This window comes from Homo sapiens, chromosome X, assembly GCF_000001405.40.
Source record: "Homo sapiens chromosome X, GRCh38.p14 Primary Assembly".
NCBI lineage: Eukaryota > Metazoa > Chordata > Mammalia > Primates > Hominidae > Homo > Homo sapiens.
In genome coordinates this window covers 86,158,932-86,177,409 of record NC_000023.11, presented here as the reverse complement: position 1 = coordinate 86,177,409, position 18,478 = coordinate 86,158,932, and the positions used below count along the sequence as shown (strand labels likewise).

General features: G+C 36.6%; 1 protein-coding gene and 1 pseudogene across 7 annotated transcripts in view; one reads left to right on the top strand and one right to left on the bottom strand.

Annotated features, from left to right (window-relative positions):
- Nucleotides 1-18,478, bottom strand: part of DACH2 (dachshund family transcription factor 2) — a 684,152-nt gene that overhangs the window by 655,193 nt on the left and 10,481 nt on the right. The window lies entirely within an intron of this gene.
- EEF1A1P29 (eukaryotic translation elongation factor 1 alpha 1 pseudogene 29) lies at nucleotides 16,042-17,484 on the top strand (annotated as a pseudogene).

The following is an 18,478-nucleotide window of genomic DNA, read 5'->3' as shown; positions in this document are numbered from 1 at the left end:
GGTGACTACAGCAAGAGCTGTTTAAGTAGCTTCCATGTGAGGTTAATAATGAATGACTCAGAAAACAGCAGGTGTCAAAAATATATACTGATTTGGTTTCTGCCACTTTGAATGCATTATGAAGCATCTATGAGTAAAGGATCATGACTATTTCTAAGTTCTTCACTGTATCTAACAGATTTGTAGTACTCTTTATAAGATAGTTATGTGCTGCCACAGGGTGACTACAGTCAACAATAATTTATTGTACATTTCAGATTAACTAAGAAAGTATAATCGGATTATTTGTAACACAAAGAAAGGACATATGCTTGAGGTGATGGATACCCCATTTACTCTGATGTGATTATTATCCATTGTACGCCTGTATCAAAATGCCTCATGTACCCCATTACACACCTAATATGTAGCCACGAAAATTAAAACCAAAAACTTTAAAATAGTAATGTGCTAAAACAAGAGTGAGAACTTAATTTACTCTTCCTGAATATATGACGTACTAATAAGATCAACAAACACACCAATAACATTGCCAGTATGAAATCAGTTTATAATAAATTACAGTCTTCCATTGGAAAATAATGTTAACACTAAATGATGTAAAGCAAATATATTCAATTATTTGGAAAATGTTATTTTCACAATATTCTTCAGACAGCTTCACTGAAGCACAGCATGCCCATGACAAATCAGAGATTATTAGCATAAATATTCAAACCTTCATATCATGGTGAATGTGGATTAGTTTGAAAACAATACCTTCAGTCAAGTTCTCAGAGTTCTTAATTCCAACAACTTTAATTTTTAAATTTTAGAAATTAAGAATCATTGTTTAACAACGTAAAATCTGATAGTATTATTATATATAGTACAAAATTTTAGATACATTGACCCTCTCTTAATCCTTAGCAACTTCAATAAACAATGCACACGTGGAGGATATTACCAACACTCTAGCCTTTCAGTTTCTTGACCTCCTCTCCTCCAAGGGTCTTGTCCTCTGCGCTTCAGTCACTCAAGCCCATATCCTAACCTTTTTAATTACCAATAACTGCAACTCTTCCATATTCTTAATTTGGTGCATCCTACTCTCTGACCACCAATATCTCTTTTATTCATTCCTTCTAGTACTCCAACAATCCTTTGGCCCCTTCTTGGAATTCCAGTTCATTGAAAATACCATCACTGCCTCTCACCTCCTTGATATCTTCTTTCTACCTAAATGATTTAAAATGTATTCTCATTCACTACATCACCTTTTGCATAAACCCTCAATTCTTCTGCCCCTCTTGCTTTGTTATACTCATACTGCTTAGCAAAACCACAATTCTAATTAAATACTATTATTTGCCTACTTTGCACCAGTACTGACACAGCTTTACGTGGTGAAATTAAAACACACAATCACATTGACCATTTTGAATTTATGACCACGACCTTAATGGGCACTTAATGTTGCCTGGCAATCATACTAAAGTTTTTTTAATAATTTACTCTAATACTTACCCAGATAGCTATTTCACAGCAATACCTCCTTTCCAATCCTCACTTTGAAATGATGACCTTGTTGCCCACTTCATTGAGAAAATTGAAACAATTAGAAGAGGACTTCCACAGCGACCCAATACTGTATCAACTAGAATCTCCATCTATATACTCTGCCTTCCCACCTGTTAATGTAGATGCACTAATCTTGCTTCTGTCTAAAGGAAGATACTTCTACTTGTACATCGGATCCCATCCACTCTTTCCTATTCAGGAATATCACTTCAGCAATACTCTTCTGTCACACAACATTAATTTCATTTTTACTTGATTATTCCTAATAGCATATGCTGTTATGTCTTCCACCATGATAAAAAAATAACCTCATGACCCCCTCCCCTCACATCCACTGTTTTCACACTACTTCCTGCCAACCCTAAGTTATTTGCTATCTTTGCAGCAAATCCCTGGAAAGAGTTGTTGATACTCCACTTCCTCTCCTCTTATTCTTTCTTAAACACATGCCACTCAAACTTTTCATTCCCACTTCTCTATCAAAACTTTTCTCATAGAGATTACCATTGACTTTCATTGCCACATCCAATTGCCAATTCTCATGTGACTTATTAACAGCATTTGACACAGCTGATTATTCCCTCATTGTGGATATGTTGTTTTTGATTAGCTTTCAGAACATAATTCTCTCTTACTTTTCCTCTTATCTCACTGGATGTTCTTTGTCAGGCTCTTTGCTGATTCCTCCTCTTCTCTCTGATCTCTTTAGGCCAGTGTGACCCAGGACTCAGTCCTTGAAACTCTACTCTTTTCTATTTACAGTCATTCCTCTCCTAAGCATATATCTCCTGTCCAGACATCTATCCCAAGCACTGAACTTGTATATCTAATGCCTACTCTACATCTCTACTTAAAGAGGTAAAAGACACTGGGCATGGTGGTTTACACCTGTAATCCCAGTGCTTTTGGAGGCTGAGGTGGGAGAATCACTTGAGCCCAGGAGTTCAAGATCAGCTTGGGCAAAATAGCAAGACCTCTTTCTCTACACAAAAAAATTAAAAATAATTAACTGGGGATGGTGGCATGTACCTGTAGTCCTAGCTGCTCAGGGGGCTGAGGCAGGAGTATAACTTGAGCCCAGGAGTTCAAGGCTGCAAGGAACTATGATGGATCATGCCACTGCACTCCAGCCTGGGCAACACAGCAAGAACCTGTCTCTAAAAAGAAAAAGAAAAGAATTGAAGAAAGCTTTTCAAACATGCTTATAATTTATGTCTAATAGTTTGCATACTGATCCCATAAAGACTACATTTATCTTCACACCTCATCACAGAAGTTTCTTAGTTCAATATTTATTCTACAAATGTTTGCTGACCATCAACTATGGGCAAAAGGCTCTGTCCTATGGAGAATACAAAGATCATCAACCATAGTATCTGAGATCAAGAATATTACAATCTACATAGGGAGATTTTTAAAAATAGGCTGGGCATGGTGGCTAACACCTGTGATCCCACCACTTTGGGAGGTGAAGGCAGGAGGATCGCTTGAGGCCAGAAGTTCAAGAACAGCCTGGGCAACATAGTGAGACTCAGGTCTCTAAAAAATAAATTATTTAAATTACCTGGCCATGGTGATGTTTGCCTGTAGTCCCAGCTACTCAGGAGGCTGAGGCAGTATGATCGCTTGAGCTCGGGAATTCAAGGCTACAGTTAGCGATGATCATGCCACTGCACTCCAGCCTGGATGACAGAGCAAGACCCTGTCTCAAAAAAAAAAAAAAAAAAAAACAACTGTACTCTTGAACTCTGCCACCTGACCTACTCTACCTCCACCTTCCCCCCCAACTAAATGAAGGAAACTTCAGCCTCCCAGTTGTATATGCCAAATTCCTGGAGTTGTTCGTGACTCTTTTCTTTCTCTCACACCCAGCATCTAATTCATCATGAAGTGCTGTTGGTTCTACCTTCAAAACCTATCCAGACTCTGACCAATTGTTATCACCTCTACTCTACCACTATGGTCTAAGCCATTGCCATCTCTCTCATTGTTCACTGCAATAGCATCCTGCTTCTACCTTTGCCTTATATGAGCCTATTCTCAACCTAGCCAGAGCAATCCTTTCAAAATCTAAGTCAGATCCTCTTATACTCCTGCTTAAAACACTGCAATAATCCATTTCATTCAGGAAAAAACCAAAGTCTTCAAAATGGCCTAAAAGGATCCATGTGGCCAACTCCCCAATATTACCATTATGATCTCTTTCCTACTCCATTATGAACACTCTCCCCTCATTCACTCTTGAAGGCTTCTTAACATTCCTCAAACCTTCCAGGTATGCTCCTGGCTTCTGGTCCAACTGTTCTCTCAGTTTGAGACACTTTCCCCAGATTCTACTTGCCTAACTCCTCTCCCTTTCAAGACTGTGAACAAATCTCACATACTTAATGAAGCCTACAATGCCCATCCTATTTAAAACTGTAACTGACTCCAATCCTCCCATACCCTTACTTTGCTCTACTTGCTCTATTTTTCCATAGCACTTACCACTTCTAACATGTAATATAATTTCCTACTTTGGTATGCATATTGTTTATTGTCTTCCCACATCCACAATACCATACACTAGAATATAATCTCTTTTTCAACGGAAGAGGTCTTTGCCTGTTTCTTTTTAATAGATGTATCCCAAGCACCTAGAAGAGTGCCTGACACAGAGTACACCCGATAACTATTTGATGAGTAAATGAATGAATGATAATCTTTTTTATATGTGTATATGTTTTCTCTACAATAAGATTAAAATCTTTCTGAAAGCATCCACAGATCCTAGCATAGTATTTTGGACACAAGGGACAATTCATATTTTCCTAGTAACTGGATCCCAGTTTTATACTTAAATTTTATGCTTCAATATTATGCTGTTGTCTCTAAACACTTTCTTGAATTATAAGTCCTTTTACTTTTTCTTTCAAACTATTAAGTTTTTGTTGATTCCCAAAACCTTTCTGTAAATGCATGTGGAATTGAGTCTCCATTCAAGGGATCTTTGTTAGTGTATTTCTGAAGACACTATCATTAAAAGGCAGTATTTCCTATCAGGACATGCACCTTAAAGAAATTACAGTGAAATTCCTGTGTAGTGCTTCTCTCTTCTTCTACTTTGTTTATCCCTAATTCCCACCACTAGATTTTCCATAATTCCCTTACTATATAGAACAATCCACCACCTAATTAAATTTGTTTGCTCAAGCCCATCATTCAAGAGACAGCATAGAGAGGATAATGTACCAGAGGAGGCACAACAGAAGACTTAGATTCAAGAATTGGCTCTGCCTGTAATAGACTGTGAGGCCTCAGGTAATTCATTTTACTTGCCTACATTTCCATTTTCTCACTTACATTTCAGATGGGGTGACCTGCCTCATAGGATTGTTGTGAGAATAACCTCAGATAGTGTGTGAATACACCTTGCAGCCTGAGAACTGCTGCAGACCATGAGATACTATTACTTCCTAGAAGCATTATCGGCTTCATTATCACAATGGATGATGCTGATTTAACATTGAGTAAAAAAAAGTCTAAATGAGATTAAGTGATCTCCAAACATGCCTTGTTGTAATCAGCCATTTATTTATAAAAATTTAGAAATTTCACCACAAAATTATAAAAACAGACACTTCTAAGGATCAGATTTAATGAGCCAGTATATGTGAAAGCACTATATAAACTATAAACCTTGATAGTAATTTAAACTTTCAGATATAGTTTTAGACAAAAGGGTTGTAGTAAATACTTAAACTTTACTTAATTACAAAAGTAACAAAAATGGCATGCTGGTGTTCTTGAATTCAAATTGTAATGTTCATTAAATAACCTCGAATGCAGTTGTTCAAATTACTCCCTGAAATGCGAACTTAGTTAGTACTGAATACAATAAGAACTTCACACGTGTACCCAAAGGCAAATTTTAATCCTTTTAAAAAAACCTCATTCTCAAGGCAAAGCAAGGTAGCCGAATAGAAAGCTATGCAAGTTAACAACTATCTACACAGAAAAAAAACCTTCATAAGAACCAAACATCAAGTGAGCACTCATAGTATCTAATTTTAACTTCATATCACTGAAAGAGACACCGAAGAGATAGAAAAAAGTCCTGAATTGCTAATGCTACCCTTCCCCAATCCCCCAGCAGCAACAGCAGCATGTGGGTCAGAGAGCATCTCTGGGTGCTGGGAGAGGGAGAACACAGCAATTGTGAGGCACTGAACTCAGTGCTGTCATGTTAGAGCAGACAAATCCCAGACCAAACTCGTCTTACAGCTGCCCATAGAGGGCGCATTTAAACCAGCCCTAGTAAGAGGGGAATCCCCAATCCCAGCTGTCCAAACTTGAGCCATCAGCAAACCTCACCACTGAGGGCCAAAGTGCTCTCAGTCTCTAAGTAACCTTGAAAGGCAATCTAGGCCATAAAGACTGCAACACTTAGGCAAGTCCTACTGCTGAACTAGGCCCAGAGACATGGACTGGGGGTGGTTGCGGGGGAAGGCATGGGCATGACACACTGAGAGACCAACTGGGACAGCCAAAGGAGTGCTGGCATCACCCCTCCCATAACCCCAGGCTGCATGGCTCCTGGTTCTGAGAGACACCCCTTTCCTTCCACTTGAGGAGAGGAGAGGGAAGAGTGGAAAGGACTTTGTCTTGCATTTAGAATACCAGCTCAGCTACAGCAGGATAGGGAACCATTCACCATGTGAAAAGAAAATAAATCTTGGGGCCCCAAAATCATTAAACTAAAAGGAAAAGTCAAGCTGGGAGCTGCATAGGGCCAACCAGCCTCCCATTCTATTCAAAGTCATCTCTCTGCTCACTTAGATAGATGCATATCTGATTGCCTCCTTTGAACAGGCTGATCAGAAATTCAAAAGAATGCAACCCTTTGTCTCTTACCTAGCTATGATCTGGAAGTCCCCTCCCTACTTCAAGTTGTCCTGCCTTTCTGGACTGAACCAATGTACCTCTTAAATATATTGATTGAGGTCTCACGTCTCCCTAAAATGTAGAAAACCAAGCTCTGCCCTTATCACCTTGGGCACATGTCATCAGGACCTCCTGAAGCTGTGTCACAGGCGCATGCTTAGCCTTGGCAAAATAAACTTTCTAAATTGACTGAGACCTGTCTCAGATATTTTGGGTTAACAACGACAAGCTGACTAAAGAGTCCTTGGGACTTAAGAGAACATCAACAGTAGTCTGGCAGTCCTCCTTGTGGCCTAGGGTGGCAGCAGCTATGGAGTGAGCCTCCTTTGCATTGGCAAAGGGGCAAAAAGAATGGGAAAGACTAAGTCTTGTGATTTGAGGGCCAGCTCAGCCACAATACAATAGAACACCAGGTAGACTTCTAAGGGTTTTGACTGTAGTACCTGAATCCCTGACAGCACCTCTGGGCCCACACTAGGCCAAGAGGACCTTGCCGTCCTGAAGGGAAGAACACAAGTCATGCTGGCTTTGTCACCCGTTGAATGTAGAACCCTAGGGCCTTAAGCGAACAGAGACAGTAGCCAGGGAGTTGTTACAGCCGAAATTGGGTAAGAACCAGTGCTGTGATGACTTCAGATCTGACCCAGTGCAGTCATAGCGGTAGTGGCAACAGGGGTGCTTGTGTCACTCCACCCCCAGCTTTAGGTGGCTCAGAACAGACAGAGAGAGAGAGATGCTTTTTGTTTGGGAAAAAGTAAGAGAAAAGAACAAGAGTCTGTGCCTGGTAATCCAGAAAATTCTCCCAGATCTTGTCGAAGACCATCAAGGCAGTACCTCTACGAGTCTGCAAGAACCACAGCAGTACTAGACTTGGGGTGCCCTTGAAGCAGACACAGCTTAGATCACAACACCCAAGTCTTTTCAAGTGCCTGGAAAGCCATCCTTCTTGGGATGGACAAATAAGCCCAGTGAAGACTACAACAAATACCTAACTCTTCAACACCCACACATCAAAGAACATCTATTAGCATCAACATCATCCAGGAAAACATGACTTCACCAAATGAACTAAATAAGGCACCATGGACCAATTGTGGAGAAACAGGTATGTGACCATTAACATAGAGAATTCAAAATAGCCGTGTTGAGGAAACCCAAAGAAATTCAAGATAATGCAAAGAAGGAATTCAGAATTCTATCAGATACATTTAACAAAGAAATTAAAACAATTGAAAATAATCAAGCACAAATTTTTGAGTTGAAAATGCAATCGATCAAGCAGAAGAAAGACAGTGAGCTTGAAGACAGGCTATTTGAAAATACACAGAGGAGACAAAAAAAGAGAATACGAAACAATGAAGCATACCTACTGGATCTAGAAAACAGCATTAAAAGGGCAAGTCTAAGAGCTACTGGCCTTAAAGAGAAGACAGGGGTAGAGATAAGTGTAGAAAGTTTATTCAAAAAGATAATGGAGAATGTCTCAAACCTAGAGAAAGATATCAATATACAAGTACAAGAATGTTATAGAACACCAAGCCAATGTAACACAAAGAAGACTATCTCAATGCATTTAATAATCAAACTCCCAAAGGAAAAAGAAAGGATCCTAAAAGCAGTAAGAGGAAAAAATGACATAAAATGGAGCTGCAATATGTCAGGCAACAGACTATTCAGTGGAAACCTTACAGGCCGGGAGAAAGTGGCAGAACATATTTAAAGGGCTGAAGGAAAAATGCTTTTACCATAGAATAGTATATCCAGTAAAAATATCCTTCAAACACAAAGGAGAATTAAAGACTTTCCCAGACAAACAAAAGCTGAGGGATTTTATCAACATCAGACCTATCTTATAAGCAATGCTAAAGGGAATACTTCAATCAGAAAGAAAAGGACATTAAAGAACAATAAGTAAGGGTTTGGAAGGTACAAAATGCACTGGTAATAATAAGCACACAAAAAAACACAGAATATTGTAACACTGTAAATGTGGTGTGTAAACTACTATTATCCTAAGTGAAAAGACTAAACAACGAACCAATGAAAAACAATAACACAACATTTCAAGACATAGTCAGTACAATAAAATATAAATAGAAAAAACAAAAGGTTAAAAAGCAAGGGGACAAAGTTACGGCATAGGGTTTTTATTAGTTGTCTTTTTTTAATGCAAAGTGTAGTTTTTTCAGCTTAAAATAATGGGTTATAAGATAGTATTTGCAAAGCTCATGGTAAACTCAAACCAAAAGACATGCAAAAGAGACACAAAAAATAAAAAGCAAAAAACTGAATTATATCACCGAGAAAGTCACCTTACTAGACGAAGAAAGGAAGGAAAAAAAAGACAAGAAAACAAATAACAAAATGGCAGAAGTCCTTATCAAGAACACTGAATGTAAATAGACTAAACTCTCTGATCAAAACACATAGAGTGTTTGAATGGATGAAAAAACAAGACCCATTGATCCGTTGCCCACAAGAAACACACTTCACCTATAAATACACACAAAGACTGAAGCTAAAGGGATAGGAAAAAATATTCCATGTCAATGGAAACCAAAGAAGCAAGGGAGTCACTATATTTATATCAGACAAAATAAATCTCAAGACAAAATCTATAAAAAGAGACAAGGAAGGTCACTATATAATGATAAAGGGGTCAATTCAGCAAGAGGATAAAACAATTGTAAATAACTGTGCACCCAATAATGGAGCATCCAGCCATATAAAGAAAATATGATTAGAGCTAAACAGAGAGATAAACCCAAATTGAATAATAAGATTTCAACACCTTACTTTCAACATTGCACAGATCTTCCAGACAGAAAATCCAAAATGAAACATCAGACTTAATCTGCACTTTAGACCAAATGGATCTAATAGACAATTGTAGAATATTTCATCCAAGAGCTGCGGGATACACATTATTTTCCTCAGCACATGGATCATTCTCAAGGACAGACCATATGTTAAATCACAAAACATGTCTTAAAACATTCAAAAAACTTGAAATAATATCAAACATCTTCTCTGACTACAATGGAATAAAACTAGAAATTAATATCAAGAAGAATTTTGGAAACTATACAAATACATGGAAATTAAGCAATATACTCCTGAACGACCAGTGGGTCAATAAAGAAATTAAGAAGCAAACTAAAATTGTACTGAAACAAATAATAGAACCACAAAATACCAAAACTATGGGATTCAGCAAAAGCAATAATAAGAGGCAAGTTTATAGCTGTAAGTGCGTACATCAAAAAAGAAGAAAAACTTCAAATAAACTATCTAACATTACACCTAAAAGAATTTAAAAAGCAAGAGCAAATCAAACTCAAAATTAGTAGAGGAAAATAAATAATGAAAATTGGGAAAGAAATAAAATTGAAATTTTAGAAAACAAAAGATCTATAAAACAAAAAAATTGATTTGTTAAACAAAACTGACAAACCTTTAGCCAGACTAATTAAGAAAAAAAGAGAGAAAATCCCAATAAATACAATTAGCAATGAAAAAAGGAGACATTACAATGGATACTGCAGAAATTCAAAGGATCATTCATGGCTACTATGAGCAACTATATGGCAATAAATTGGAAAATCTAAAAGAAATGAACAAATTCCTAGATACATACATACCAAGATTGAAACAGAAAGAAATCCAAAACCTGAACAGTTCAATAACAAGTAATGATATTGAAGCAGTAATAAAAATTCCCCCAGTGAAGAAAAGCTTGGGACGTGAAGCCTTCACTGATAAATTCTACCAAACATTTTAAAAAGAACGAAACCCAATACTACTCAAACTATTCCGAAAAATAGAAGAGGAGGGAATACTTCCAAACTGAATTTATGAGGCCAGTATTAACCTGATACCAAAACCAGACAAAAACACATCAAAAAATGAAAACTACAATCCAATATCTCCTATGAATTTGATGCAAAAATCCTCAGCAAAATACTATCAAAACAAATTCAGGAATACATTAGAAAGATCAACATGACCAAATGGGATTTATCGCTGGGATGCAAGGCTGGTTCAGCATATACAAATCAATCGTTTTGACACATCATGTCAACAGAATAAAGAATAAAAACTATGTAATCATTTCAAATAATGCTAGAAGAGTATTTGGTGAGTCCAACATCCCTTCATGGTAAAAAGCCTCAAAAAACTGGGGATAGAAGGAATATATCTCAACAAAATAAAAGCCATATATGACAGACCCACAGCTAGTATCATACTAAATGGGGAAAAACTGAAAGCTTTTCTTTTAAGATCTGGAACACGACAATGATGCCCACTGTCATCACTGTTATTCAACATAGTACTGGAAGGCCTAGCTAGAGCAATCAGACAAGAGAAAAATATAAAGGGCAGCCAAATTAAAAAGGGAGAAGTCAAATTATCCTTGTTTGCAGATGATATGATCTTATATTTGGAAAAACATAAAGACTCCACAAGAAAGTTGTTAGAACTGATAAACAAATTAAGTAAAGTTACAGAATACAAAATCAACGTACAAATATCAGTAGCATTTCTATATGCCAACAGTGAACAATCTGAAAAAGAAAAAATTCTAAAACTTATATGGAACCACAAAAGACCCAGAATAACCAAATCTATTCTAACCAAAAAAGCAAAACTAGAAGAGTTTTATTACCTTACTTCAAATTATACTATAGAGCTATAAGGAACCAAAACAGCATGTTACTGGCATAAAAACAGACATATACACCAATGGAACAGAATAGAGAACCCAGAAACAAATCCACAAACCTACAGTAAACTCATTTTCAACAAAGGTGCCAAAAATATACCCTGGGGAAAAGACGATCTCTTCAATAAAGAGTGCTGGGAAAGGTGGAAATGTATATACAGAGGAATGAAACTAGATTCCTATGTCTCACCATATGCAAAAATCAAATCAAAATGGATTAAAGACTTAAACCTAAGACTTTGAACTGTGAAACTGCTACAAGAAAACTTTGGGAAAGATCTCCAGGATATTGGTCTGGGCAAAGATTTCTTGAGCAATACCCCACAAGTATAGGCAACCAAAGCAAAAATAGACAAATGGGATTGCATCCAGTTAAAAAGCTTCTGCACAGCAAAGGATACATTTAACAAAGTGAAGAGACAACCCACAAAATAGAAGAAAATATTTGCAAACTACCCATGTGACAAGGTATTAATAATCAGAATATATAAGGAGCTCAAACAACTATATATGAAAAAAATCTAATAATCCAATCAAAAAAATAAGAAAAAGATTTGAGAAGACATTTCTCAAAGGAAGACATACCAATGGCAAACAGGCATATGAAAAGGTGCCCAACATCATTTGTCATCAGAGAAATGCAAATCGAAATTACAATGAGATACCCTCTCACCCCAATTTAAATCGCTTATATCCAAAGGACAGGCAATAATAAATACTGGTGAGGATGTAGAGAAAAGGGGACCTTCGTACATTGTTGGCGGAAATGTAAATTAGTACAATAACTATGGAGAACAATTTGGAGGGTCCTCAAAAATCTAAAATTTGAGCTACCGTATGATCCCGCAATACCACTGCAGAGTATATACACAAAAGAAAGGAAATCAGTATATCGAAGAGATACCTGCACTCCCTTGTTCATTACAGCACTGTTTACGATAGCTAAGATTTGGAAGCAACGTAAGTTCCATCAATGGATGAATGGATAAAGAAAATGTGGTACACAATTGCCCCAAAAAGAATAAAATACCTACGAATACAGTGAACCAGGGAGGTGAAAGGTCTCTACAATGAGAATTAGAAAACACTGCTCAAAAAAAATCAGAAAAGATACAAATGGAAAAACATCCCATGCTTATGGGTCAAAATAATCAATATCATTAAAATGGCCACAATGCCCAAAGCAATTTACAGATTCAATGCTATTCCTATCAAACTACCAATGACGTTCTTCACAAAACTAGAAAAAAAAACTATTTTAAAATTTATATAGAACCAAAAAGGAGCCCAAATAGCCAAGGCATTCCTAAGTAAAAAGAACAAAGCCGGAGGCATCACATTACCCAACTTCATACTATACTACAGGACTACAGTAACCAAAACAGCATGGTACTGGTACAAGAACAGACACACAGACCAATGGAACAGAATACAGAACCCAAAAATAAGGCCTCACACCTACAACCACCTGATCTTTGACAAACCTAACAAGGACAAGCAATGAGCAAAAGACTCCCTATTCAATAAATGGTGCTGGGATAACTGGCTAGACATATGCAGAAGACTGAAGCTGGACCCCCTCCTTACACCATATACTAAACTCAACTCAGGATGGATTAAAGACTTAAATGGAAAACCCAAAACTATTAAAATCCTGGAAGACAACCTAGTCAATACCATCCTGGACATAGGAACGGGCAAAGATTTCATGACAAAGACACCAAAGGCAATCGCAACAAAAGCAAAAATTGACAAGTGGAATCTAATTAAATTTAAGAGCTTCTGCACAGCAAAAGAAACTATCAACAGCATAAACAGACAACCTACAGAATGGGAGAAAATATTCACAAACTATGCATTTGATAAAGGTAATATCAAATATCTATAAGGAACTTAAGCAAATTTACAAGAAAAAAACAAACCACTCCATTAAAAACTGAGCAAAGGACCTGAACAGACACTTTTCAAAAGAAGACAGACATGTGGCCAACAAGCATATGAAAAAAGCTCAATATCACTGATCATTAGAGAAACCAAATCAAAACCACAATGAGATACCATCTCACACCAGTCAGAATGGCTATTACTAGAAAGCAAAAAATAAATAAATAAATAACATGCTGGTGAGGTTGCGGAGAAAAGGGAACACTTATACACTGTTGGGCAGAGTGTAAATTAGTTCAACCATTGTGTAAAACAGTTTGGTGATTCCTCAAAGAGCGAAAAGCAGAACTACCATTTGACCCAGCAATCCCAGTACTGGGTATATAACCAACGGAATATAATCTGTTTTATTATAAAGACACATGCACGTGTCTGTTCATTGCAGCGCTATTCACAATAGCAAAGACATAGAATCAACATACATGCCCATCGATGACAGAAATGGATTAAAAAAAAGTGATACATATACACCACGGAATATTATGCAGCCATAAAAAACGATGAGATTGTGTCTTTTGTGGGAGGCTGGAGGCTATTATCCTCAGCAAACCAATGCAAGAACAGAAAACCAAATACCACATATTCTCACTTATAAGTAGGAGCTAAATGATGAGAACTTATGAACACAAAAAAGTAAACAACAGACATTGGGATATACTTGAGTGGGGAGGTGGGAGGAGAAAGAGAAGCAGAAAAGATTATTATTGGGTACTGGGCTTAATTCCTGGGTGACGAAATAATCTGTATAACAAATCCCAGTCACATGAGTTTACCTAGGTTACAAACCTTCACAGGTATTCCTGAACCTAAAATAAACATTAAAAAAAAGAAAATGTGGTACATACACACAACGGAGTACTATTAGCCATAAAAAAGAGTGAGACCCAGTCATTTGCAACAACATGCATGGAACTGGAGATCATTATGCGAAGTGAAATAATCCAGGCACAGGAAGACACACATCACATGTTCTCACTTATTTGTGGGATCTTAAAATCAAAACAATTGAACTAATAAACACAGAAAGTAGAAGGATGGTTACCAGAGGTTTGGAAGAATAGTGAAGGGCTGGAGGGAAGGTGGGGATGGTTAATGGGTACAAAAAAAATAGAGGGAATGAATAAGACCTACTATTTGATAGTACAATAGGGTGACTAGAGTCAATAAGAACTTAACTGTACTTTTTAAAATAACTTAGAGTGTAATTAAATTGTTTATAACTCAAAGAATAAATGCTTGAGTGGAGGGATACCCCACTCTCCATGATGTGGTTATTTCACATTGCATGCCTATATAAAAATATCTCATGTACCCCATAAATACATACATCTACTATGTAACCACAAAAATTTTAAAAAATAACTTAAAAATAAACTTTTACCTAAAAAAGTGTATATACAAAAATATAAATAATTTATTCTCAACACGTTTCAAAAATGTGTTATGGCAAGCTAGAATCAATCAAACAGAACAGGAATAGTAAGAACATTTACCAAGGATATGTAAATGGACACTTTATAATTTTTTAATTAAAGTAACATTTACAAGAATACTAAATGAATATTACTTTAATACAACACGTATACAAATGTTTTATTAAGGTTTTTAATGCCACCTCAAATGGAATAACATTTCTACATTTTGCCTTCAGTTTTTTTTCTTTTTATTCACAGCTAATATTTGTATGTCCTTTGTTCCTGTTCATTATTAATCTGATTAATCTTACCACTAAAATGAAGACAATTAAAAGGGATAATTCATTCAAGAACTCTATGGATATGCCTCTATCAGTACACTCTATACTGCCTACTTCCCACCTATCAGTTAGTTCCTGGTCTATTCTCTATTTACATAAGAAACATTTTCTCATCAGGTTTTCTCCACCCTTTTTTAGTTTCATTCCTTTGTTCATTCCCAAATAGAACTCCATCAATGCTAACATGACCCAAATTTAGTCCACCTGTCTGTAAAATCAAGAGGCTTCCTAACTAAACAGAAAACTAAATTATTGAGCTTCACTGCCCCTTCTTTGAAGGAACATGAATCCATATGGGACAAAGGCTTTTACATATTTCCCACTAATGTAGAGAAAGACCTCAAAAAAAAGGAATTCTTGGATTTTATTTACATTTAAAAACTGAGAACCATCTTGGAAACAAAAAAACAAAAATAAAAAAAAAAGAAACAAAATACCAAACTGAATACACAGCATATCTGTCATTCAATTCAATGAGACAAAACTGTAAAGAATAATGAAAGCTTTAGGCTGCTCTGCCTATGGAGTAGTCATTCCTTTATTCCTTTACTTTCTTGATAAACTTGCTTTCACTTTAAAACAAGGAAGAATAATAAAAGCTTTAGATTGTGGCAGAATAGGGATTATGTAAACATCATACGACTTTACAAAAAAGAACATGCCCCTAAAATAACAAAAACCTGTCAGTCCTCTAGCATGACAAGGAACAACGCAAAAGAACTGCAAATTTAAGAATGTGGCTATATCAAATGTACGTATACCAATTAAACACTGGAGCAGTTACTACTCTCTTTAGAGGTCACAATGTTCTATATGTGCCCATCATGAAAATGACTGCTCTTGACAGGATATAATCAGCATCAAGACTATATAATGTTCCTTTTCTTAATTGCAAGCTGAAAATCAATTAATTATTCTCTTCACAGAGTAGAAACGCTTCACAAAAATCTGATTTAGAGTTATACTCATCAATGCATTCTAATCCAAAGCTATAATTCCTCTGGTGTCAAGAAATTTTTATTTAACTGAAGGAAGATGGTTATTTAGGGGTTCTGAACACAGGAAGGTGTGTTAAAGTCAGTAACTGGCCTCATGTAATTTGCCAGGTTTTGATCTGCTAACACCTGTAATGACTACTGTATCCATTAAGAACGTGATTACAGGGACATCTCAGGTTGACTGTGCTGTCCTGATTGTTGCTGCTGGTGTTGGTGAATTTGAAGCTGGTATCTCCAAGAATGGGCAGACCAGTGAGCATGCCCTTCTGGCTTACACACTGGATGTGAAACAACTAATTGTTGGTGTTAACAAAATGGATTCCACTGAGCCACCCTGCAGCCAGAAGAGATATGAGGAAATCGTTAAGGAAGTCAGCACTTACATTAAGAAAATTGGCTACAACCCCAACACAGTAGCATTTGTGCCAATTTCTGGTTGGAATGATGACAACATGCTGGAGGCAACTGCTAACGTGCCTTCGTTCAAGGGATGGAAAGTCACCTGTAAAGATGGCAATGCCAGTGGAACCACGCTGCTTGAGGCTCTGGACTACATCCTACCACCATCTGGTCCAACTGACAAGCCCTTGCGCCTGCCTCTCCAGGATGTCCACAAAATTGGTGGCATTGGTACTGTACTTGGTGGTCAAGTGAAGACTGGTGTTCTCAAACCCGGTATGGTGGTCTCCTTTGCTGCAGTCGATGTTACAACTGAAATAAAGTCTGTTGAAATGCACCAGGAAGCTTTGAGTGAAATAAAATAAAGCTTCGAGTGAAATGAAATAAAGCTTTATTCCTGGGAACAATGAGGGCTTCAATATCAAGAATGTGTCTGTCAAGGATGTTCGTTGTGGCAACATTGCTGGTGACAGCAAAAATGGCCCACCAATGAAAGCAGCCGGCATCACTGCTCAGGTGATCATCCTGAACCATCCAGGCCAAATCAGTGCTGGCTATACTCCTGTACTGGATTGCCACATGGCTCACACTGCATGCAAGTTTGCTGTACTGAAGGAAAAGATTGATCACCGTTCTGGTAAGAAGCTGGAAGATGGCTCTAAATTCTTGAAGTCCGGTGATGCTGCCATCATTGATATGGTTCCTGGCAACCTCATGTGTATTGAGAGCTTCTCAGACTATCCTCCTCTGGGTCACTTTGGTGTTTGTGATATGAGACAGACAGTTGCTGTGGGTGTCATCAAGGCAGTGGATCAGAAGGCTGCTGGAGCTGGCAAGGTCACCAAGTCTGCCCAGAAAGCTCAGAAGGCTAAATGAATATTATCCCTAATACCTGCCACCCTAGTCTTAATCAGTGGTGGAAGAAGAATCTTTGAACTGTTTGTTTCAATGGGCCATTTAAGTTTAATAGTAAAAGACTGGTTAATGATAACAATGCATTGTAAAATCTTTAGAAGGAAGGCAGAATGTTTTGTGGAACACTTTGTTTTTTTTGTTTTTTTTTTTACATGTGGCAGTTTTAAGTTATTAGTTTTTAAAATCAGTACTTTTTAATGGAAACAACTTGATCAAAATCTGTCACACAATTTTGTAGACCCATTAAAAGAGAGTTTAATCAGAAAAAAGTAAATAAAATTTAATATTAGAATAAGTAAAATATATTTAGACAGGTAAATATGCTGAGAACATTTTATAATGCACTGCAAAGCCAAATCAATGTTATTTTAATTTTCCACGTTTTTGAATTATATGTATTGTTTACTCTTCCTTCCACTAATGTAGGTTAGCTGAGAGTTAACCATGAAACAATAAAACTCAACCTAGATAATCTGGAGATGAGACAATAAGAATGTGGCAAGTTCTTAGTATCACCACTTCCCCTGATAAGGAGCCTTGCACATAGTAGGTGCTTACTAAATATTTGTTGAAATGAATTGAATTGGAAAATATCATGTTTAAAGTGAATATGCTAATTGGCTTATAAAGTGAGACCTAAAGATTGTATGCTTTGCATAAAATGTACTATGGAGTAATTTTTTTTCTATGAACAAATTCCCCTTTTGCATACCTCAGATAAAAACCTAGAGGGAACTCACAGATTTTTCTACAAAATAAATTTAGAAGTTTAGCAGATTACAGGATATTTTCAAAGCAGCAAGCTTAACAGTAACATTAAACATTTAATTATACATGTTTGCAAATAATCTGGTTTTGTAAAGTTATTTACATTTAAATATAACATATTTAAGGGTCAATGTACTCTGGATGAACAAAAATAAACAACTCTCATCTCTGTTTTAATTTTTGGCATAATATTGTATAGGACCACATGCAAAGCAAATGATGCTCTAAGATTGAGGATCTTACTAGTTTAAAACTCTTAACACAAATCAAAGCAAGCTTTTTAACATAATTTTTTTAAAAATCCACAGTTGCATGTTTTATAACAAAAACGTGTGTCTCATGGATTGATTAACTTTATGAATTTTAAGAATTCATATCCCTTTTAACAAATATATATCATAAAAAGTTACTAAGGTCAATTAACTATGGTCATTCTTAAGTGGAAATACATGTTTTATTTCATGCTCCTTTTTATGTGTACTTTATAAGATA